We start from the raw sequence: 25,783 nt of genomic DNA on the forward strand, positions 1-25,783 counted from the left end.
GTGCCACTGCACTCCAGCTGGGGCAACAGAGAGAGACCTTGTCTCAAAAAAAAAATTGTTTTTGAAAAATTAAAGCTATTTCCGGCCATGGCTTATAAAGAAACTGTGCTGTCCTACTATGCAAAAGGATCCAAAATTCAAAAGCATGACTCTTATATCCCCCTCACCTTGAAGATTCTACTACCCAGAGGCACTTGGATTTTTTTAATTGAAATACATTTCACATATCATAAAATTGACCCGTGTTAAGGTGTACAGTTGAGTGGTTTTTAATGTGTTCACAAGGTTTGCAATCATCATCCACAATTTTAGAATGTTTTCAACACCCCAAAAAGAAACCCCATACCCAGCCAGGCACGGTGGCTCACGCCTGTATTCCCAGCAATTTGGGAGGCTGAGGCGGGTGGATCGCCTGAGGTCAGGAGTTCGAGAACAGCCCGGCCAACATAGTGAAACCCTGTCTCTACTAAAAATGCAAAAAAAATTAGCTGGGCGTGGTGGTGGTGGGCCCCTGTAACCCCAGCTACTAGGGAGGCTGAGGCAGGAGAATCGCTTGAACCCAGGAGGCAGAGGTTGCAGTGAGCCAAGATTGCCCCATTGCACTCCAGCCTAGGCAACAAGAGCAAAACTCCGTCTCAAAAAAATTAAAAAATAAAAAGAAACCCCGTACCCATTAGCAATCACTCTCCATCCCTCCTCCTCCAAGCCCCAGGCAACCACTAATCGACCATCTGTCTCTAGCTTTGCCTATTCTAAAACATTTCTCATAAGTAGAATCATACAATATGTGGTCTTTTGTGACTGGCTTCTTTCACTTAGCGTAATGTTTTCAAAGTTTATCCATTTGTGGCATGCACAGTATTTCATTTTTTATCATCAAATAGTATTCCATTGTGTAGACAGCCTACTTTATCTTCATCTATGCATCAGCTGATGAACTTTGAGTCATTTCCACTTCTAAATTATTATTAATAATGGCGCTATGAACATTCGTGTACAAGATTTTGTGTGGACATGTCTTCATTTCTCTTGGATACGAGGCACTTCTTTTGAATAGTCTTTGATTTTTGGTTCATCATCTAGTTATCATTTAAACTTTTTAAGTAGTTTACCTCCCAATTTTTCCACTTTTGATGGTATCTGTTAATGTCCCACTGTGGAAAAGGGAGAATTTATGGCTATTATATGACTTCCTACCTCCCTATTCCTGGTGATCTTGGTTATACCTTGATTTCAGACCAATGTGATAATACATTCCATATGTAGAAAAGTTGGGAAATATAGTTAGGTATGTTTTTACATGAACAAGATTTGTAACATTTTCATTCTTTTTCTTTAAACACCTTGATTCGAACATTTAACATAACGCCCCCTCCCCAGCATTTTTTTGTATTATGATCCACACCCTATTCAGTGTAGGATAAAGTTGTATGATTGCACCCAGAAGAAGGAAGTGTAACCCTATAGCTGCAATTCTCACAATGTGGTTCCCAGACCAGCAGCACACACATCACCTGGAACTTACAAGAAAAGCAAATTCTCAGATCCCACGTACTGAATCAGAAACTGCGGTGCTGTGGCCTAGCAGTCTCTGTTTTAATAATTCTTTTGTTTGTGTTTTTGTTTTTGTTTTTTGTTTTCGAGACGCAGTCTCGCTCTCTTGCCCAGGCTGGAGTGCAATGGTGCAATCTTGGCTCACTGCGACCTCCACCTCCCGGATTCAAGCGATTCTCCTGCCTCAGCCTCCTGAGTAGCTGGGACTACAGGTGTGTGCCACCACATCCAGCTAATTTTTTTATTTTCAGTAAAGATGGGTTTTCACCATGTTGGCCAGGTTGGTCTCAAACTCCTGACCTCAGGTGATCCACCCGCCTCGGCCTCCCAAAGTGCTGGGATTACAGATGTGAGCCATCGCTCCCAGCCAACATTCGAAACCATCCTGGCCAACACGGTGAAACCCTGTCTCTACTAAAAATACAAGAATTACCCGGACATGGTGGTGTGCGTCTGTAGTCCCAGCTACTCAGGAGGCCGAGGCAGGAGAATCGCTTGAATCCAGGAGGCGGAGGTTGCAATGAGCAGAGATGGCGCCATTGCACTCCAGCCTGGGCAACAAGAGTGAAACTCCATCTCAAAAAGAAACAATAACAACAACAACAAAAAACTTTTAATGTGTCACCGTTGTGTCTTCTAATACCTAGTGTAGTTGAGGAGATGTCAGGGGTGGGGTAATTTTGTTGTTCGTTTTTAAGTAACCTGTTGTGTTTTTTTCTTTCTAGAACCACTAAGATGGTTGTTTCTTATTTTAAAAGCCTGTTTTCTCTTTGACTTTTTTTTTTTGGTCCCTCTTATTTTGGCAGTGTGGTGGTGTGGAGCATAGCCAAGAGAGATGCCATCTGTGGCAGCCCTGCAGCCGGCCTCAATGTTGGCAATGCCACCAATGTGATCTTCTCCAGGTGCCGGGATGAGATGTTTATGACTGCTGGAAAGTATGTGTCTGCGTTCGGAGTTTTCAGAACTCATAAATTGCTATATTTTCTTGCACAGAAAACATGGTCATTCTGATCTGGGGGAACACGTCTTTAGTCCTGGATAAATACCTTACATCATAGTTTTTGTGATTTTGTACTCATTAAAAGTTCTCTTCACTGGAAGTATTTTCACTATAGTTATTTTAAAATTCTGTGATTGCTGCTGAAAAGATTTTGCTTACCTGCTTAACTGTTCTCAGGTTCTTGTTTGTGACAGAATTATCTCCAATCCATGCTCACAGAAACAATTTGCACAATTGCACAGATTCACCTACTGACTGATGTTTCTTCCCACCTGCTCTTGATTGGGGTCTCATGATCTGATAGTTTGCAAATGAATTCTGCCAGGAAGTTTCAAATGGTTAGACTGTTAGCCATGTAAAATAATTACGGGCAGGATCAGCTTTAACCAGCTAATGGTGACCTAGCTGAAAGTTTGAACAGAGGCCAGTATCTGCCTAAGGGAGGGAATAAATTAATTTACAGATTCACTAATTAGAACCTTGTTTAAATTAGCAAATTAGGGAGGGTTTTTTTTTTTTTTTTTGACAGTGTTTTGCTGTGTCACCCAGGCTGTAGTGCGGTGGCATGATCTCAGCTCACTGCAACCTCCACCTCCCGGGTTCAAGCAATTCTCCTGCCTCAGCCTCCCAAGTACCTGGGATTACAGGTGCCCGCCAACACACCCGGCTAATTTTTGTATTTTTAATAGAGACAGGGTTTCACCACATTGGCCGGGTTGGTCTCCAACTCCTGACCTCAGGTGCCTGTTTGGAGTTTGAAGGGAAGGTTAAATATGAATTTTAGAAATCCTTTTTTAATGTTATATACCAGTTCAGAGGGCAAGAAATCAGAAAATACAGAGTTGAAGTATGTGTTCAGTAGAACTATTTTTTTCAACCCATCTTGGAAAGGTACACATGGTTGGTTACTTTTCCAGCTAGAGAAGAGAATTTGTGCAGCTCTACATCTATATTGTTTCCTGTCCCCGCTTTATGATATGCAACTTACATTTGCTCCATGGCTAATTATGAGGAACGATTCATTCAGAGGCCATGAAGCTAATTGACCGGCACGAAAACCAGCCCTACCAAGCAACCTAAAGCAACTGACCACGGGCTGTGGCGACACTCTTCAACTTTTTTCAGATTTGCAGAGTGATTTGACTAAGCCAGGGTTTTATAGGGTTCTTTCTGCTCCTTCACAGCCCCTTAAGCAGCAGGCATTGGTCCATTCTGAAGTCCATGAGCAACATTTCTTCAGGACTCAATACTTGAATTTTATATTAAAAAAAAAGTTTTTTTAGGACAATCTGCATTCTATGTCTGGTTTGATTTCATGTGACACTGAGAACTGAGAAAGTGATCATTCGTAAGTAAAATTTTTGACATGGCACCTATGTATGCTGGGTTCTCTAACTTGGTCCCAGTGCCATGTATTCCACTATATTGTCCCCATGAGATGTCCTGCAAGTTTAAGTATTTCAGAATCCAAATAACATCTACCAGGAAGACCATGAAAAAGCTCTTTGTTTAAAAAAAAAAAGTTCAGTACGTTTAAAATATGTCTGAGTACTTACTATATATATAACTCTGGGAGCTAAAAAAACAAAAGAAAAACTATATATATACATACATAGTTATATATATGTTTATATAGTTACATATGTATATGTATGTAGATATATATGTGTGTGTATATATATATATATATATATATATATATATATATATATATATGTACACATATAGAGAGAGACAGACTCTCACACTGTTGCCCAGGCTGGAGTGCAATGGCGCAATCTCAGCTCACTGCAACCTCTGCCTCCCGGGTTCAAATGATTCTCCTGCCTCAGCCTCCCAAGTAGCTGGGATTACAGGTGCATGCTGCCACGCCCGGCTAATTTTTTTGTATTTTAGTAGAGATGGGATTTCACTGTGTTGTCCAGGCTGATCTTGAACTCCTGAGCTCAGGCAATCCACCTGCCTCGGCCTCCCAAAGGGCTAGGATTTATAGGCATCAGCCACCATGCCTGGCCCAAAACTTGATATATTTTTAGATTAATCTTTTCTGCCTTAAAATATTAGCTGAAGTCTTTGTGATGTTGGCCTTGAAATTTTTATACAATTATTAATTCAGATTAATTCAACATATAATGAGTAAATACCGACCATGTATCAAGTCCTGTGTTAGATGCTAATTTGGTTTAGCTTTTAGTTGCTTGGTCTCATTTCTCTTTCCTTGAAGACAAGACTCCACACCACAGGTCTTCCCTTTAAAATTTTCCTTGCAACTCAATACCTTGAAAAAAACACATTTAAACTTACTCCTCCTCATGGTTGTTGTGTGTGTGTGTGTGTTTTTTTTTTGAGATGGAGTTTTGCTCTTGTTGCCAAGGCTGTAGTGCAGTGGCACGATCTCGGCTCACTGCAACCTCCACCTCCCAGGTACAAGCGATTCTCCTGCCTCAGCCTCCCGACTAGCTGGGATTACAGGTGCCCACCACCACGCCTGGCTAATTTTTTATATTTTTAATAGAGACGGGGTTTTCACCATGTTGGCCAGGCTGGTCTCGAACTCCTGACCTCAGGTGATCCACCCACCTTTGCCTCCCAAAGTGCTGGGATTACTGGTGTGAGCCACTGCGCCTGGCCCTCCTCCTCCTGTTGAACTGAAATTTGATGTCCTTTGACCAACATCTCCCTACTCTCCCACCCCCAGTCTCTGATAACCACCATTCTACTGTCTCATGCGTTAGGCTTTTTTACACTCCACAGCTGCGTAAAGTCATGCAGTGTTTGTTTTTCTGTGCTTGCCTTATTTCACTTAACATAATGTCCATCAGGTTTGTCCATGTTGTCACAAATGACAGAATTTCTTCCCATTGCGTACATATACCACATTTTAAAAGTCCATCCATCTTTTGATGCACACAGGTTATGTACATCATGGTGAGTATAGTTCGTAATATATTGTATACTTGAAAATTGCTAACACAATTTTAAGTATTCTCACCGCCAAAAAAATGGTAAGTATATGAGATAATGCATATGTTCAATAGCTTGATTTTGCTATTCTACAATGTGTATATGTATATAAACATCATGATGTACACCATAAATATATATTATTTTTACTTGTCAATTAGAAAGAAAAGAAGGCCAGGCGTTGTAGCTTATGCCTGTAATCCCAGCACTTTGGGAGGCTGAAGCGGATGGATCACGAGGTCAAGAGATGGAGACCATCCTGGCCAACATGGTGAAACCCCGTCTCTACTAAAAATACAGAAATTAGCTGGGCGTGGTGGCGGGCACCTGTAGTCCCAGCTACTTAGTAGGCTGAGGCAGGAGAATGGCTTGAACCTGGGAGGTGGAGGTTGCAGTGAGCAGAGATTGCGCCACTGCACTCCAGCCTGGCAATAGAGTGGGACTCTGTCAGAAAGAGAGAGAGAGAGAGAGAGAGAGAGAAAGAGAGAAAGAGAGAGAGAAAGAGAGAGAGAAAGAAAGAAAGAAAGAAAAGAAAAAGAGGAAGACATTTAATAAGCTCTGATTTGCTCTGCCCATGTTCCCTGCTTACTTGTGTGTTTGTTTTCAGTAGAGTGGGTAGTGTGCACTTCAGAGTGAGACGGAGCCAGGTGTGAATCCCTGCTCTGCTGTGTTCAAGCTCCGCACTTTCTAATTTGGGAGGGGGGATCATAAAACCTGCCTCGTGGTGGTGTTATGAGGATCGAATAAAAGATCTTTCATAGTGCACTAGGCCATAACGAAGCCTCAAAAATGTTTAGATCTCTTCCCTTCAGTTTCAGGGATGAAGTGATTATTAAATGGGTGTCCATTTGATTGTGGTTTTTTGTTTTTTTTTTTTACATAGTGGGACAATTCGAGTATGGGAATTGGATCTTCCAAATAGAAAAATCTGGCCAACTGAGTGCCAAACAGGACAGTTGAAAAGAATAGTCATGAGTATTGGAGTAAGTATTAATTTAAGTATTAAGTAACAATTAGCACACGTTCCTGTTAGCAGTGCTGACCAAGGTGTTTGTGTGTGTGTACATGGGGCTGGGGATAGGAAAGTGGGGTATAGACATAGGGGATGTTGATTGAAGAAGCTCACTTTGGCCAGGTGCAGTGGCTCACGCCTGTAATCCCAGCATTTTGGGAGGCGGAGGTGGGTGAATCACTTGAGGTCATGAGTTCGAGACCAGCCTGGCCAACATGGTGAAACCTTGTCTCTACTAAAAATACACAAGTAGCCAGGTGTGGTGGTAGGTGCCTGTAATCCCAGCTACTTGGGAGGTTGAGGCAGGAGAATTGCTTGAACCTGGGAGGCGGAAGTTGCGGTGAGCTGGCATCATGCCACTGCACTCCAGCCTGGACAACAGAGTGACACTCTGTTTCAAAAAAAAAAGAAGAAAAAGTTCACCTCTGCACCTCTGCCACTCCCTTTAGGAGTCAGGGAAGAGTCACCTAGACACAGCACAGGTAAACCTTGTTTTGCTGGAATCTAGGCTGTCATCAAACACCGAAAGCCTGCCTCACCTGGATGAAAGCAATGCAGCCCGTGGCACTCAGAGCCCACAGCACATTCCTATGCCACTGATGCTATTTCTGCCACTGAAAATAAAGTTTCTGACCATGAAATCCATTGTTGAAATGCAATCTCTTCCATAAAGAGAAATTATTAATATATTTTAAATGTGGGTTTATATATTCAGGTTGCATATTCCTTATCTGACATGCATATAGCCAGAAGTGTTTTGAATTTTGGATTTTCTTCAGATTTTGGAGTATTTGCATTATACTTCCAAGTTCAGCATCTCTAATCTGAAAATTCAAAATTTGAGATGTGCTAATGAGCATTTCCTTGGAGTGTCACATCAGCACTCAACAATTTCCGATTTTGGAGCATTTCAGATTTTAGATTTTTAGATTTTTGGATTATACTCAACCTGTATAACTTCATTCTCCATGGACTGATTCCTCTTGTTTAATGCATAGTCATTTTATGGATATAAGCTTTGGAAAATATGAGATAAAGCAAATGTACATCCTTTTTGGAGGGGCACACCTTTATCCTAGGAGCCCTTAAGAGATGTCTCAAAATTCTGAACTGGCAGAGGATGCCTATTAACATCAGAACCAGATAGACTTCAAGTGAAAGGCACAGGCTAATTGGGGTCGAATATTTCCTCCCATTCTATGTGTAGCCCTTACCCTGCTCCCCTCAGAGCTGTTCTGACCCATCTTTGAGCCTGGGGAAATAGAAGCAGCCCTGAGCATCTTTGTAAGTCTTCATGGGGTGCCAGAGGAACCTCATCCCATTCCTGAACAGGTGTTCATGGGCATCATTCAGGGCATCCAGGTCTTCAAGTTTTCTTCTTCTTTTTTTTTTTCCTGAGACAGAGTTTTGCTCTTGTTGCCCAGGCTGGAGTGCAATGGCACAATCTTGACTCACTGCAACCTCTGCCTCCTGAGTTCAAGCGATTCTCCTACCTCAGCCTCCCGAGTAGCTGGGATTATAGGCATGCACCACGACACCCAGCTAATTTTGTATTTTCAGTAGAGACAGGGTTTCTCCATGTTGGTCAGTCTGGTCTTGAACTCCTGACCTCAGGTGATCCACCCGCCTCGGCCTCCCAAAGTGCTGATATTACAGGCGTGAGCCACCGAGGCTGGCCAAGATTTCTTTTTCTTGCTTCTTCAGGTGGATGATGATGATAGCTTTTTCTACCTTGGCACCACGACTGGAGATATTCTAAAAATGAACCCCAGGACTAAACTGCTGACAGATGTTGGGCCTGCGAAGGACAAATTCAGTTTGGTGAGTAGAGACCATCGCCACTGCCCTGCCATTTTTCTCCCTTCACTGGCAGCATGTACTTTTTTTTTTCCTTTTTGAGATGCAGTCTTGTTCTGTCACTCAACCTGGAGTACAGTGACGTGATCTTGGCTCACTGCAACTTCTGCCTCCCAGGTTCAAGCGATTGTCCCACCTCAGCCTCTCAAGTAGCTGGGACTACAGGTGTGCCCCACCACACCCGACTAATTTTTGTATTTTTTAGTACAGACAGGGTTTCATCATGTTGGCTAGGCTAATCTTGAACTCCTGACCTCAAGTGATCTGCCCACCTTGGCCTCTCAAAGTGCTGGGATTACAGGTGTGAGCCACCATGCCCGGACAAAGCACACACTTTGTTTGTTTGTTTGTTTGTTTGTTTTTGAGAAAGAGTCTCGCTCTGTCGCCCAGGCTGGCGTGCAGTGGCGAGATGTCGGTTCACAGCAAGCTCCGCCTCCTGGGTTCACGCCATTCTCCTGCCTCAGCCTCCCAAGTAGCTGGGACTACAGGCGCCCGCCACCACGCCCAGCTAATTTTTTTGTATTTTTTAATAGAGACGGGGTTTCACTGAGCACACACTTTCTTAATGAAGAAAGAGTTTGTGGGAAAACATAAAAAGTCAGTGATGGACCCAAAGCCACATCTCAATTTGCAAGGTACATTGGCCAGTTCTCTATGCCCTCGTCTCTGGTTTTTATTCTGGGTAAAGACATTTCTAGGTGTCCTGAATTAGGGAATCAGAACCACATTTCCAGTTCTGTGAAGAAAGTCATTGGCGGCACTATTCACAATAGCAAAGACTTGGAACCAACCCAAATGTCCAACAATGATAGACTGGATTAAGAAAATGTGGCACATATACACCATGGAATACTATGCAGCCATAAAAAAGGATGAGTTCATGTCCTTTGTAGGGACATGGATGAAGCTGGATACCATCATTCTCAGCAAGCTATTCCAAGAACAAAAAACCAAACACCACATTTTCTTACTCATAGGTGGGAATTGAACAATGAGAACACATGGACCCGGGAAAGGGAACATCACACACCAGGGACTGTTGTGGGGTGGGGGGAGGGGGGAGGGATAGCATTAGGAGATATACCTAATGTAAATGACGAGTTAATGGGTGCAGCACACCAACATGGCACATGTATACATATGTAACAAACCTGCACGTTGTGCACATGTACCCTAAAACTTAAAGTATAATAATAATAAAATTTTAAAAAAAGTACCACATTTATGTTCACCTCTTCAAAGCATAGGGCCTATTGCTTTGTGATTTTAAACTGCGTTGGTTCCAGCCCCATTGCCATACATAAGAGAAGTGTGCTCTTTGATCTATAAAACTATATATATAATTTTTGTCTACTTTACTAACTAGATCTTAGATTTTAGCCTCAGCTGACATTATAAGTCGTGAGCAAGACCTAGAAATAGTCAACTGTTTATATTTACAGACTTCCTAGCAATTCTAGTTAAAAGGACAGTTAGAGACTTTGATATTTATACCAAAATAAAAAGCTACCATCAAAGGATAATTTTATATAACAAATGCTGCTATTTCCAGCACCCCAGTAACTTATCAGGGCTGTTTCTACTAAACTTTGAATTTGAAAGCTTGTACTATGTTCTGCACCTGCCTATCTCGTTTCTGATAACAGAACAGATGGTTCTAACTAAGCTTAGATACTTTTCCACATAGCAGATATTCTCAAGAAACTTTGAAATACTGCACTGTGTTCCTGGGAAAATGTCACAGTTTTCTTAGTCACATAATCATTTAATATTCAAGCATTCAAGGAGATGCATAAAAAGAGGGAAAAACTATAGTATAAGTAGAGAAGAGTTTAGAAATAATGCTACAAGAGATTGAAGTGTAGCTTTTCAAGTGTGGTTTTTCTAATTCTTTTTAGGATAGGAATTCTTTTTTTATTATTATACTTCATACATGTGGGATACATGTGCAGACCGTGCAGGTTTGTTACATAGGTATACACGTGCCATGGTGGTTTGCTGCACCCATTAACCCGTCGTCTACATTAAGTATTTCTCTTAATGCTATCCCTTTTCTAGCCCCCACCCCTGACAGGCCCCGGTGTGTGATGTTCCCCTCCCTGTGTCCATGTGTCCTCATTGTTCAACTCTCACTTATGAATGAGAACATGCGGTGTTTGGTTTTCTGTTCCTGTTTTAGTTTGCTGAGAATGATGGTTTCCAGCTTCATCCATGTCCCTGCAAAGGACATGAACTCATTCTTTTTTATGGCTGCATAGTATTCCATGGTGTATATGTGCCACATTTTCTTTCTATCCAGTCTATCATTGATGGACATTTGGGTTGGTTCCAAGTCTTTGCTATTGTGAATAGTGCCACAATAAACATACATGTGCATGTAGAATGATTTATAATCCTTTGAGTATATACGCAGTAATGGGATTGCTGGGTCAAATGGTATTTCTGGTTCTAGATCCTTGAGGAATCACCACACTGTCTTCCACAATGGCTGAACTAATTTACACTCCCACCAACAGTGTAAAAGTGTTCCTATTTCTCCACATCCTCCCCAGCATCTGTTGTTTCCTGACTTTTTAATGATCGCCATTCTAACTAACGTGAGATGGTATCGCATTGCAGTTTTGATTTACATTTCTCTAATGACCAGTAATAATGAGCTTTTTCTCATATGTTTGTTGGCCGCATAAATATCTTCTTTTGAGAAGTGTGTGTTCATATAGGATAGGAATTCTAATATATTAAACAAATAAAAACAAAGCACATCAGGTTAAGGAGAGCAAGTCTTAGAGCCCTGCCAGTGCCAACTCCTGAGATGCCTCCAAAGAGCTCCATGTAACACTACCTGAAAACTAGTGGATTTTTTGTTTTGTTTTGTTTTGTTTTCCTAGCACTTGGGAACGAAATATCTGTCCAGCAAAGATGCTGGCTATCTTAGGTTTCTCAAACCTTTGGCACTTAAGTCACCTGTGGATGCTGAAATTCTTTTTTATTATTGTTATTATTTTTTGATACAGAGTCTCGCTCTGTCGCCCAGGCTGGAGTGCAGTGGCACTATCTCGGCTCACTGCAAGCTCTGCCTCCAGAGTTTACGCCATTCTCCTGACTCAGTCTCCAGAGTAGCTGGGACTACAGGCGCCTACCACCATGCCCAGCTAACTTTTTTGTATTTTTAGTAGAGACGGGGTTTCACCGTGTTAGCCAGGATGGTCTCGATCTCCTGACCCCGTGATCCACCCGCCTCGGCCTCCCAAAGTGCTGGGATTACAGGCGTGAGCCACCACACCCGGCCCTAAGTAGATATTTCATGTTCATGGATAGGAAGACTCAGTATTGTCACGATATGAGTTCTTCTTAATTTGAACTATAGATTTACTGCAATCCCAATAAACATCCCAGCAAGTTATTTTGTGTCTGTAGACAAACTGATTCTACAGTTTACACAGAGGGGCAAAAGACTCCGACTAGAAAGCACAATATTGATACCTAATGTAGATGACGGGTAATATAGATGATGTAGATGACGGGTTGATGGGTGCAGCAAACCACTATGGCACATGTACACCTATGTAACAAACCCGCATGTTCTGCACATGTATCCCAGAACTTGAAGTATAATTTTTAAAAAAAGAAAGCACAATATTGAAGAAGAACACAGTTGGAGGAGTGACACTACCAGATTTCAAGACTTACCATAAAACTACAGTAATCAAGACAGTGTAGGGTTGGTGAAAGAATAGATAAATGGATCAATGGGACAGAATAGAGAGCCCAAACATGAATTCACATAGTCAACTGATCATTGGTGAAAGAGCAAAGGAAATACAATGGAAAAAAAGATCGTCTTTTTAATAAATAATGCTAAACACCTGGAAAACCAAAAAATAAAAATAAAAAAGCCTAGACACAGACCTTATACCTTTCACAAAAATTAACTCAAAATGGATTACAGACCTAAAACACAAAACAATAGAACTCCTGAAAGATAAAATCCAGAAGACCTAAGATGTGGTGATAACTTTTAGCTATAATACCCATGAAAGAAAGAATTGAAAAGCTGGACTTCCTTAAAATCAAAAATTCTGCTCCATGAAAGACACTGTCAAGAGAATGAAAAATAAAGATACAGAGTGAGAGGAAATATTGGCAAAAGACATACCTGAATAAGGACTGTTACCCAAAATATACAGAGAACTTTTAAAACTCAACAATAAGAAATGGGCCAAAGACCTTAACTGCCACCTCCCCTAAAGAAGATATACAGATGGCAGCCGGGCGCAGTGGCTTGTGCCTGTAATCCCAGCACTTTGGGAGGCTGAGGCGGGCCGATCACCTGAGGTCAGGAGTTTAAGACCAGCGGGGCCAACATGGTGAAACCCCGTCTCTACTAAAAATACAAAAGTTAGCCAAGTGTGGTGGTGTGAGCCTGTAATCCCAGCTACTAGGGAGGCTGAGGCAGGAGAATCACTTGAACCCGGCAGTGAGATCACGCCATTGCACTTCAGCCTGGGGGACACAGCAAGACTCTGTCTCAAAATAAATAAATAAATAAATAAATAAATAAATAAATAAATAAATAAATAAATAAAAGAAGATATACAGATGGCAAGTAAGCATATGGAAAGATACTCTATGTCTTATATCAGCCGGGAAATGTAATTAAAACAGCAATGAGGCACGACTACATACCTTTTCAAATGGCCAAAATCCAGAACACTAACAACACCTAATATTGACAGAGATGGAGAGCAGTGAGTACTATTGTTCATTGCTGATGGGAATGCAAAATAGTACGGCCACTTTGGAAGATAGTTTGGTGGTTTCTTGCAAAATTAAACTTACTCTTACCATGTAATGCAGCAGTTGCACTCCTTGCTATTTACCCAAAGGAGCTGAAAACTTATGTTCACACGAGAACCTGCACACAGATGTTTACAGAAGCTTTATCCATAATTGCCAAAACTTGGAAGCAACCAAGATGTCCTTCAGTAAGTAAAGGGATACGTAAACTGTGATACATCCAAACAATGGCATATTAATCAGTACTAAAAAGAAATGAGCTATAAAGTCAGGAAAAGACTTTATAGGAAAAGAAGGAAACTGAGATGCACATTACTGAGTGGAAGATGCCAGTCTGAAAGACTGCACACCATTTGATTCTAACTATATGACATTCTGGAAAAGGCAAAATTATGGAGACAATAAAAAGATCAGGCTGGGCGCGGTGGCTGACACCACTAATCCCAGCACTTTGTGGGGAGCTGAGACGAGCAGATCATGAGGTCAAGAGATCAAGACCATCCTGGCCATCTCTACTAAAAATACAAAAATTAGCTGGGTGTGGTGGTACATGCCTGTAGTTCCAGCTACTCGGGAGGCTGAGGCAGGAGAATTGCTTCAACTCAGGAGGTGGAGGTTGCATTGAGCCGAGATCGCGCCCCTGCACTTCAGCCTGGCGACAGAGTGAGACTCCATCTGAAAAAAAAAAAAAAAAAAAAAAAAAAAAATCAGTGCTTGCCATGGGTTAGCAGGGAGGGAGGAGTGAATGGGTAAAGCACAGAGGATGTTTTGGGCAGTGAAACTATTCTGTATGGCACTATAATGGTAAATATATGTTGCTATTAATTTGTCCAAACCCAGAGAGTATGCAATGCCAAGAGGGAACCCTAATGTACACAATGGATTTTGGGTGATAATGATGTGTCCACATAGGTTTATTAGCTGTCATACATCTACTCTGCTGGAAGATATTGATAATGGGAGAGGCTCTTTAACTGTGGGGGAAAGAAGTATTGGGGAAATCTCAAATACTTGTATCTTCTGTTTAATTTTGCTGCAAACCTAAAACTGCTCTAAAAAAAATAGCCTAGTAAAAACAAAAATAGTCCAGGCAAGGTGGATCATGCCTGTAATCTTAGCGCTTTGGGAGGCCAAGGCAGGAGGATCACTTGAGGCTGGAGTTTGAGGCCAGCCTGGGCAGCATAGAAATACCCTATTTCTGTGAAAAGTTTTTAAAAATTAGCCGGCGTGGTGGCATGCATCTATAGTCCTGGCTACTGGGGAGGCTGAGGCAGGAGAATTGCTTCATCCCGGGAGTTCGTGGTTACAGTGAGCTGTGATTGTGCCACTGCACTCCAGCCTGGGTGGCAGAGACCCTGTCTCCAAAATACACACACACACACACACACGAACATGCAAATACAAAAATGGTATCTGTCAATAAATGCTGATGTGTCAGACATGGTGCAAAACCCCTTCCTTAAATGATCTCATTCGATCTTCATAAACGCCTAATGAGATAGGTACCATTTTCATCCCTGCTTTACAGATGAGAAAACTGAGGCTCTTAACATTGGAAATCTCCTGGCTTGCAAGTAATAGAGCTGAGATTTCAACCCAGGCCGACTGGCTGCAGAACCTGTGCACTTGAATGACGTCATCTATAGTTTTAAAAAGTTTATTTAGAAATCACACATATGTAGCTTCGAGGCGCTGTTGAACTCTTTACCACTTGCATCCCCAAGTCCCCAGATAAATGCTAAAAAATTCACTCCATGTTTTGTCTCCTCATAGGCTGAGCCTTCATCCTGTTGTCCTGCTGAGGCACTTAGGAAGTTAGGGGTGAGGGGTGGAAGCTGGGGAGCATGTAATTCTGGTCCTTGCCTTCACATTCTTGAGCCTTGGTTTCTCTTCTCAATCACAAAATGTCTTTTGAGCCACAACAGGCTAAATTCAGTGTAAAGTAACTTGAAAGGGCAGGATATTTGTTTTATCATATTCAAAATTCATTAAGACACAAACCTATACAGTCACTAGCTATACTGAATGTTTTAAAATCAAATGTTGTGGCTGAGTGTGGTGGCTCACACCTGTAATCCCATCACTTTGGGAGGCTGAGGCAGGAGGATCACTTCAGGTGAGGAGTTCGAGACCAGCCTGGCCAACATGGCGAAACCCCATCTCTACTGAAAATACAAAAATTAACCAGGCATGATGGCGCATGCCTATAATCCCAGCTACTCTGGTGGGTGAGTCACAAGAATCGCTTGAACTTGGGAGGCAGAGAGTGCAGTGAGTTGAGATCATGCCACTGCACTCCAGTCTGAGTGACAGAGAGAGACTCTGCCTCAAAAAAACAATAGTAATAACAAATAAATAAAATAAAATATTGCTCACGCACATTTTAAAATTAGAACTTCACAGTGGATACTATAAAACAACCATCATACATTGTCAAGCCTTTTTTTTCTTTGGAGAGAATGGTGGGGGGCACCCCAACCTTTGAAGAGCACTTTAAATTTTAAATATGTTTCCCACTCTTATGTAGTACATGTTGTAGTTCAGATAATACAGTCGCCAAACAATAAGAAGTCTATTGTGCTTTCTTGGGATATTAAATATGGTCCCTTTGCATTTGTAAGAATTAAGTTCTGGTGAAAACAGTGGCAGCTGAGAGACTAGCATTGCTGAGGTTATGCTTATACCTTCTCTTGGCTGCATTTGAGTGGATGTAAAAGTGTTAATTTTTAAAATATTCAAAATGCACCAGTGGTTTTAGGGAGGAAGGATGGTGAAGCCTGTTTGCATCCTGTAGGCCCAGGAGGGTTACTTCCTGGCAAGTGAGCTTGTTGTTGGCACTGAATCCCCTTGGTCAGCCTGGGGGTGCATCGCGAGCAGAACCTTCATGAACATCCTCCAGGCAATGTGTGCAGCACTGGCATGACTTTGGCCATCTTTAATTCATCTTTCATTCAGCTTTTTTCTTTTTTTCATTAATATTTAAAATTTTTTTTATTGCCATATGTTTTTGGGGAACAGGTGGTATTTGGTTACATGAGTACATTCTTTAGTGGTGATTTGTGAGATTTTTGTGCTTTTTCTTAACACAGTTTTTCCCCCTAGGGAGTGTCAGCTATCAGGTGCCTGAAGATGGGGGGTTTGTTGGTGGGCTCTGGAGCCGGACTGCTGGTCTTCTGTAAAAGCCCTGGCTACAAACCCATCAAGTAAGTTCCGGGTCTCACACAGTGGGGCTGGGTAGAGACCCACTAAACGGAGATTTGCTTAAAGCCAGCAACTCGATGATATCGGCAAAGTGATATTTGGTTAAAAAATTTCATCTTGCTGTTAGAATGAGTAGTTGGAATCACAATAGATGGTGGCTTCTTTGTCAACGAAAAGACAAAAGCTTATGTTGAATCAAACCAAAGTAGTCCACTATTACCCAGAGGGACACTGCCCATTTAATAAATACATAAGTTTGTATTTAGCTAACACATTGAGCCATGATGAAAGGAACGGGATGTTATAAACTTATCCAAGAAATAACCCCCAATGTTAAATGTTCAAAATTGGTTAACTCAATGAAATTTATTATGCAATGGGTACCTATTATGTGCAAAGCATTGTGTTAATCATGCATTTGAATACAATTTATAATAGAAATAGCCAGCATTCACCAGCCATTTCTATATGCCAGATACTCTGCTATGTATGTTTCTTGGCTCATTTAATTAAAATAAAATGAAACAAAACCTTATTTATTGCCATAACAATGTGCTTATTCAGCACCTCCTCCAACCAAACCAATGTATTAGATACTATTAATAAAATAAAGAAAAATAAGCTATGGTCTTTGTCCTCCCAGAACTTACAGACTCGTTTGGGGCTAAGGTATGTACACACGAAAGAAGTCACTACCAGACAAGATAGGATATTAGCACATGGTCCAGATAAAGTAAAATATATTATGAATGTTGTAGAGATCAGAGAAGAGGATGACCTTCTCGGGATGGAAAGATCAGGGAGGACAGTTCACAGAGGGATGGGCTTAAACAAAAACCAGATACCCCACACATGTGCTTTATGGCCTCTGCTACCCCCAGGAAGCCAGGGGTAGTTGCACACATGTTGTAGAAATGAGCACCAGCTGTCTTCATTCCAAGAAATCTGTGTTGAACATTCACGGGGTACCAGGCATCATTCTAGGTGCTTAGGATATCTCAGTGAATAAAACATAAAAGATGAAAAAAAAAATCCCTGTCCTCATGGAGCTTACATTCTAGCAGGAAGGAAAAGGCAATAAATAAGAAACAAAATAAACAAGGAAAGTACATAGTATTAGAGGGTGATAAGTACAATGGAGAAAAATGAAGTAGGATGCAGAGTAAGGGGATTATGGTTTGAATAGAAGCAGGGAGGCCAGGTGCAGTGGCTCACGCCTGCAATCCCAGCTCTTTGGGAGGTCGAGGCAAGTGGATCGCTTGAGCCCAGGAGTTCCAGCCCAGCCTGGGCAACACAGTGAAGCCTCATCTCTACAAAAAAATACAAAAATTAGCCAGATGTGGTGGCACATACCTGTAGTCCCAGCTACTCAGGAGGCTGAAGCGGGAGGATTGATTGAGGTTGATCAGTCAACCTCAAGGTTGAGGCTGGAGTGAGCCATGATCATGGCACTGAACTCAGCCTGGGTGACAGAACGAGACCTCGTCTCAATTTTTTTTTTAAATAAAAAAGCAGTGTATACATTGCCATTTTAAATTCAGTGGTCAAGATTGGGCTTATTGAGAATGTTTTAGACCAGTTTCATGCTTGTATGAAGGGAAATGAGGGAGGGAGGAGTCTTTAGAACAATATTGGAAGCCTTCCAGGTTATTATACATGCTCAAGTTTGAAAGCCACAGCCCCAGAGAATGCTGGGAGCAGCATTCATCAGGAGCCTGGTGCCTGGACAACCTCATGGAATAGACACTTATAAAACCTGGAATCTGATTTCTGGAGAGAGAGAGAGAGAGAGAGACAGAGACAGAGAGAGACAGAGAGAGAGAGAAGCTCCTCTCTTAATTTACAACCGAACCTGAATCCTAATACAGGTGAGGTGGGGGAGAGGAATGATGAGAAACTTAACCTTAAAATAGCAACAATCAGGAGAGGAAAGAAATAACATCCAAGTATTGTCGATAATACAAGATGCAAGAAATAAAATCAAGTAAAAAACAAACTATGTTGGGTTATCTCTGGATGTATGAAGTGAATATAGTAAATTAACCTTCTAATTTTTTACCCCTTTGTTTTTAGTGTGTGTACATTCCCATTATGATGAAGATAAACTCAAAGTAATTATCACCAGGTTTGTGCTATCACTGTTTCCAAAATAACCCTGTGTGACAGTGCAGAATTAAATCAGATGCGGTGGTTTCCACCTGCTGGGCTTTTTGTAGATTGAAAAGGCTGCTCACATGAGAAGTCATGGAGACTGGAAAGGGAAGATGTATGATCAAAATGGACAGCTCCAGTGCCAAGATCTTTCCTTTCCCCATTTTTTTTTTTTGTTTGTTTTGAGATGGAGTCTCGCTCTGTTGCCCAGGCTGGAGTGCAATGACGCCATCTTGGCTCACTGCAACCTCCGCCTCCCGGGTTCAAGAGATTCTCCTGCCTCAGGCTCCCGAGTAACTGGGATTACAGGTGCCCGCCACCAAGCCCAGCTAATTTTTTTTTGTATTTTTAGTAGAGATGGGGTTTCACCCTGTTGGCCAGGCTGGTCTCAAACTCCTGACCTCAGATGATCCACCCACCTTGGCCTCCCAAAGTGCTAGGATTACAGGTGTGAGCCACCATGCCCAGCCTGTTCTTCCCCTTTTATCCCTAGGCTTCATTTTGTCTTCTGAAGTTCCCAGATGCCAATAGCCAGTATTTCTTTGTTGTCATCTGTGGGCTAGCAACAGATATAAAGGAGCAACATCTTCACTGCAACACTTGTAAAGGAGGAATTATTCTGTGGTTGAGTAAACTGAGGCCAGAGGTTTCTGACAACTTGTCCAGAGTCACAAACCTCTAGTTAGTGCAAGAACTGAGGTTTAACTTGTCATCTTCCTTTCGTCATTAACTGTTCTGTGTCCCACCAATAAATCTCTAAAACACTGTATTTCCCATGCTGGCTTCTTGCACAAGAACCTGCGTTGAATTCTTCATTGTCTAAACTAAACTAGTTACAGAGAGAGTCTGTATCCTAGGGCCTCATTCATGTATATACTTTTTTTTTTTAAGTTCATACTCATTATAAAGGGAAGAGGGAGAAATCTGAAATGTAGAAGAGGAAAAACCAACTCCTTAAGGTTCTGGCAAAGACAACCCCTAGTTTTTCTTTTTTTTCTTTTTTTGAGACAGAGTCTCACTCTGTCATCCAGGATGGAGGGCAGGGATGAGATTGTGACTCACTGCAGCCTCCAACTCCTGGGCTCAAGTGACCCTTCTACCTCAGACTCCCAAGTAGCTGGGACTATAGGTGCGCACCACCACACCTGGCTAATTTATTTTATTTTATTTTTTATTTTTAGAGACAGGGTCTTGCCATGTTGCCCAGGCTAGTCTCAAACTCCTGGCCTCAAGTGGTCCTCCTTGCCTAGGCCATCCAAAGTGCTGGGATTACAGGCATGAACAACTGTACAAGCTCTGAAATGATTTTACTTATAAATAAAATGTTGTATTCTAATTTTTTACTTAATGCAAGCATCATAAACATTTTCAGTATTATGATGTAATCTTTTTATTATGGTAACATATACACGTACTACATAATCTTTTAAACTTTTTTTAGGCAAATATCCTATGAAGCTGATGTTCCATAGATCATTTAACTATTCCATTACAACTGGGTATTTAGGTTGTTTCCAACCTTTTACTCTTTCAGATAGGGTTATCATAGCATCCTTTGACGTAAAGCATCTTCCCCCTGATTTTAGGATTATTTTTCAGAAGTGGAATTAATAAAGGGGTTAGTTGCTGTGGTCATTTGTACCCATATGCCTGCCTGGAATATTCCCTCTACCCAAATCCTGCCTGCATTGCACAACCCATGTCAAAACGTTATCTCACTGAAGAAGCTTTCCTGACTACTTTAACCTATGCTGACCTCTGGCTTTGCTGTTCGTGGGTACACCAACTTGTGAGTAACTCCTGCCTTTTCAACTGTGTCACTTCTGTGAGGGCGTGTCTGAAATTATATGCCTGATTTGTATCCTCTGCCATGCTTCACATGATTCGTAACTACTTACTGGTTGAGTGAATCTACTTTACTTTTGTGCTTCTCCCTAAAGGAAGATTCAGTTACAAGGCGGCATCACTTCTATCACACTTCGAGGAGAAGGACACCAGTTTCTCGTAGGAACAGAAGAATCGCACATTTATCGTGTCAGCTTCACGGATTTCAAAGAGACGCTCATAGCGACTTGTCACTTTGATGCTGTCGAGGATATTGTCTTTCCATTGTGAGTAGAAGAGAAAAACAAGAATGTGGAGATTTGATGCAGTGTGCCAGGGCATTTAATTTTATGAATGCATTTTCAATATTAATGAACATAGTTATGATTTTTCTCCTTAAATTTTTCTAACGTGGTGAATTATTTTAAGAGACTTTCCATTGTCTTTGCCATGCAATTATATTAGCTTTCCAATTCAAATTTGAGTTTCTTTAGAATATTGACTTTTCTAATAAACCCCTCATGGAAAGGGTAAGTACCTGACAAAACCTTTCTGTTTTCTTAATCCCATCCAGAGAAAGCTTAGTACAGACAGTCCCTGACTTATGATTTTTTTTATTTTATGATGGTGTAAAAGCAAAATGTATTCAGTAGAAACTATATTTCAAGTACACATACAACTATTTTGTTTTTCCCTTTCAGTACAGTATTCAATAAATTACATGAGATATTCGACACTTTATTATAAAATAGGATTTGTGTTAGATGATTTTGCCCAGCTATAGGCTAATGGAAGTGTTCTGGGTATGTTTAAGGTAGGCTGGGCTAACCTAGGATGTTCAGTAGGTGAAGTGTATTAAGTGCATTTTCGACTTAGGATATTTTCAATTACATTGGGTTTATCAGGCATATAGCCCCATCTTAAGACACGAAGTATCTGTGGTACCTGTTTTCAAACTTCTTTCCTGTCATTTGTACCTCTTGAGGTCTTCTAGATTTCACAGGCTTCATGGTGGTGGGTATTACGAGGGCTTCTGGATCTAGTTGCTGTATTTCTTGGTAAATCTCACCCAGCACAAGTAAAACAAATAACTACCAGCAGTTTTGATATCAAAAGGAGCTTCAGTCAGATGTTCTGGTATTTGATTTTGTAACACATTTTGTCTTTGGTGAGATTCATTTCATGAAGTTGGTCAGTTTTTGCTCTGAACTTCCTCAGTACTTAGCTTAATTTATAATACTCAACTTTCAGCAAGACTTATATTCAGACCTCAGTTTTTGTTTTGTTTTGTTTTTTGTTTTTGGGGGGTTTTTGTTTGTTTGTTTGTTTGTTTGTTTGTTTTTGAAGCGGAGTCTTGCTCTGTCACCCAGGCTGGAGTGCAGTGGTGGGATTTCGACTCACTGCAACCTCTGCCTCCTCGATTCAAGCGATTCTCCTGCCTCAGCCTCCTGAGTAGCTAGGATTACAGGCATGCACCACCACGCCCGGCTAATTTTTTATATTTTTGGTAGAGATGGGGTTTCACCTTGTTGGCCAGGCTGGTCTTGAACTCCCGACTTCAAGTGATCCACCCACCTCAGCCTCCCAAGGTGTTGGGATTACAGGCGTGAGCCACTGCACCCGGCCTCAGACCTCAGTTTTTGAGATCTTGAGCTGTAGTTTCCGTTCCCTGAATCCCTGTGATTAGGTCTTTCCACGTTATTTCTAACAGTGAAAATGGCTGCTGCTTTCCCACTAGGTGAATCTTTGTTTGCAAGTTGGTCATTTTCTTTTGGTCTCACTTTTTCCCCTCTTTTTTTTTAATAAGCACTTTAGTAGAATTAATCTGCAAAACTGTTTGGCCCTGGTGCTTTTTTTAAGGGTAGATTTTAAACCATCTTTTCAATTGCTTATATAGTTATTGATCTGTTTGGGTTTTGCATCTCTTTCTTTTCCTTTTCCTTTTCTTTTTCTTTTCTTTCTTTCTTTTTTTTTTTTTTTTTGAGACTGAGTCTCGCTCTGTTGCCATGCTGGAGTGCAGTGGCACGATCTTGGCTCACTGCAACCTCTGCCTCCCAGGTTCAAGCAATTCTCCCACCTCAGCCTCCTGGGTAGCTGGGACTACAGGCATGTGCCACCGCGCCCAGCTAATTTTTATATTTTTAGTAGAGATGGGATTTCACTATGTTGGCCCAGCTGGTCGCGAGCTCCCAACCTCAGGTGATCCACCCGCCTTGGCCTCCCAAAGTGCTGGGATTACAGGCGTGAGCCACCACGCCTGGCCTCTCAAAATATTTCTCTTGCCATCAATTTTACTTAGTCTGATATTAAGATTACCACATCTTCATTCCTTTAAAATAACATTTACTAATTAGGAATTTTTGCTATAATGTAATAAATGAATTCGTTTATTATAAAAATTCATTTGTTTATTAAACAAATTCATTTATTTATTAAAAAAAGGACTTCTGGGAAAAATTGAATTAGGCCAGGATTTCTCAACCTCCGCACTATTGACATTTTGAGTTAGATAACTTGATATTGTGGATGCTATTCTGTGCATTAAAGGATGTTTGGCAGCATTCCTGGGCTCTACCCATCAGACGCGAGTAGCAGCTCCTTCCCTGCAATTATGACGACCAAAAAATGTCCCCAGACCTTGCCAAACTTCCCCTGGTGGCAAAATTACCCCTAGCTGAGAATCACTGGGGTTAGGCCAGACCTCTTACTACTGATGCAATTTTGTAATCAGAGCACTAACAAACCAGTCACAATTTTAATAAACTATTAGCACAGTTAGAAAGAGTTTATTAAATTCCTAATAAGAAAGAAATACTGCAGTAAATATAGGACTTCGCCTTTTAATAAGTAAGGGTAACTTTCTAAAAGGAGATTTAAGAAGACTTGAGGCTGCTGAGTTGTGAATATGAACTAAACTAAGAGGAAGAACATAGAATAAATGTATGGTACTGCATTCTTCATTTACTTGCTAATTTAGTTGTGTTAATGTTCTTTGTTTTCAATTGCTATTACTTTATATACCAAAGCATTATTATACTGAGATTAAATCATGCATGAACCAATGAAACTTGTGTAATATTCTGTTAGGTTGGTGCAAAAATAATTGCAGTTTTACCAATTGCATATGAGCTAATATTCATTACAGAGACGTGCATTGCAGCAAAAGAGAGTGTATTGTCTTTTTTCAACTCTTTATTTTCAACCTATTAGTGTTTAGTTTTAGGTAAGTCTTAGTCTTTTAATAGAATTTAATTCATTCATAAGTATTACTATCTGATAAGTTTATATATTTTTCTGTTTAACATGTTTACTCTTTTTGTCTTTTCTTGTAGCTGTCATGTTTTATTTGGTTCCGTTTTAACCTTTGCTGCATACAACTTGGAAACTATCTACTTTATTTGTATTCATTTAGTGGTTACCCTTGAATTGTTTTTTTTTCTTTTAGGACATAAGGTCTTCCTCTGTCACCCAGGCTAGAGCACAGTGACGCAATCACAGCTCAGAACTCCTGGGGTTAAGCAATCCTCCTGCCTTAACCTCTGGAGTAGCTGGGATGCAGGCATGTACCACCATGCCCAGCTAATTAAAACAAAAAAAAAATTCTTTTTTTTTTTTTTTTTTTTTTTTCCCAGAAACAGGGTCTCACTATGTTGCCCAAGCTGGTTTTCAACTGCCATCCTCAAGCAATCTTCCTACCTCGGCCTCCCAGAGCACAGGCCTCTCAGATTATAGGCATGAGCCACTGCAGTCAACCTCTAAATTTTTAATATACATATTTAAATATAGTTTTTCGGGGGGAGGAGCCAAGATGGCCGAATAGGAACAGCTCCGGTCTACAGCTCCCAGCGTGAGCGACGCAGAAGACGGGTGATTTCTGCATTTCCATCTGAGGTACCGGGTTCATCTCACTAGGGAGTGCCAGACAGTGGGCGCAGGCCAGTGTGTGCGCGCACCGTGCGCGAGCCGAAGCAGGTCGAGGCATTGCCTCACCTGGGAAGCGCAAGGGGTCAGGGAGTTCCCTTTCCCAGTCAAAGAAAGGGGTGACGGACGCACCTGGAAAATCGGGTCACTCCCACCCGAATATTGCGCTTTTCAGACCGGCTTAAGAAACGGCGCACCACGAGACTATATCCCACACCTGGCTCAGAGGGTCCTACGCCCACGGAATCTCGCTGATTGCTAGCACAGCAGTCTGAGATCAAACTGCAAGGCGGCAACGAGGCTGGGGGAGGGGCGCCCGCCATTGCCCAGGCTTGCTTAGGTAAACAAAGCAGCCGGGAAGCTCGAACTGGGTGGAGCCCACCACAACTCAAGGAGGCCTGCCTGCCTCTGTAGGCTCCACCTCTGGGGGCAGGGCACAGACAAACAAAAAGACAGCAGTAACCTCTGCAGACTTACGTGTCCCTGTCTGACAGCTTTGAAGAGAGCAGTGGTTCTCCCAGCACTCAGCTGGAGATCTGAGAACGGGCAGACTGCCTCCTCAAGTGGGTCCCTGACCCCTGACCCCCGGGCAGCCTAACTGGGAGGCACCCCCCAGCAGGGGCACACTGACACCTCACACGGCAGGGTATTCCAACAGACCTGCAGCTGAGGGTCCTGTCTGTTAGAAGGAAAACTAACAACCAGAAAGGACATCTACACCGAAAACCCATCTGTACATCACCATCATCAAAGACCAAAAGTAGATAAAACCACAAAGATGGGGAAAAAACAGAACAGAAAAACTGGAAACTCTAAAACGCAGAGCGCCTCTCCTCCTCCAAAGGAACGCAGTTCCTCACCAGCAACGGAACAAAGCTGGATGGAGAATGATTTTGACGAGCTGAGAGAAGAAGGCTTCAGACGATCAAGTTACTCTGAGCTACGGGAGGACATTCAAACCAAAGGCAAAGAAGTTGAAAACTTTGAAAAAAATTTAGAAGAATGTATAACTAGAATAACCAATACAGAGAAGTACTTAAAGGAGCTGATGGAGCTGAAAACCAAGGCTCGAGAACTACGTGAAGAATGCAGAAGCCTCAGGAGCCGATGCGATCAACTGGAAGAAAGGGTATCAGCAATGGAAGATGAAATGAATGAAATGAAGCGAGAAGGGAAGTTTAGAGAAAAAAGAATAAAAAGAAATGAGCAAAGCCTCCAAGAAATATGGGACTATGTGAAAAGACCAAATCTACGTCTGATTGGTGTACCTGAAAGTGATGTGGAGAATGGAACCAAGTTGGAAAACACTCTGCAGGATATTATCCAGGAGAACTTCCCCAATCTAGCAAGGCAGGCCAACGTTCAGATTCAGGAAATACAGAGAACGCCACAAAGATACTCCTTGAGAAGAGCAACTCCAAGACACATAATTGTCAGATTCACCAAAGTTGAAATGAAGGAAAAAATGTTAAGGGCAGCCAGAGAGAAAGGTCGGGTTACCC

At 41.7% G+C, this 25,783-nt stretch overlaps 1 protein-coding gene across 8 annotated transcripts in view; it reads left to right on the forward strand.

Annotated features, from left to right (window-relative positions):
* The window catches only part of CFAP52 (cilia and flagella associated protein 52), a 68,913-nt gene that overhangs the window by 15,191 nt on the left and 27,939 nt on the right, over window positions 1-25,783 (forward strand). For 7 of the 8 annotated variants that reach the window (XM_047435437.1, XM_047435439.1, XM_047435438.1 and 4 more), the window contains 5 exons: window positions 2,361-2,489; window positions 6,402-6,501; window positions 8,235-8,351; window positions 16,287-16,387; window positions 20,477-20,647. In XM_047435437.1, the coding sequence (XP_047291393.1) occupies window positions 2,361-2,489; window positions 6,402-6,501; window positions 8,235-8,351; window positions 16,287-16,387; window positions 20,477-20,647 (618 nt within the window). Of the gene's footprint in view, window positions 1-2,360; window positions 2,490-6,401; window positions 6,502-8,234; window positions 8,352-16,286; window positions 16,388-18,458; window positions 18,511-20,476; window positions 20,648-25,783 lie in introns of those variants that run through there. The other variant, XM_047435441.1, reaches the window with a different exon arrangement.

The sequence above is a fragment of the Homo sapiens genome, chromosome 17, assembly GCF_000001405.40.
Source record: "Homo sapiens chromosome 17, GRCh38.p14 Primary Assembly".
Taxonomy (NCBI): domain Eukaryota; kingdom Metazoa; phylum Chordata; class Mammalia; order Primates; family Hominidae; genus Homo; species Homo sapiens.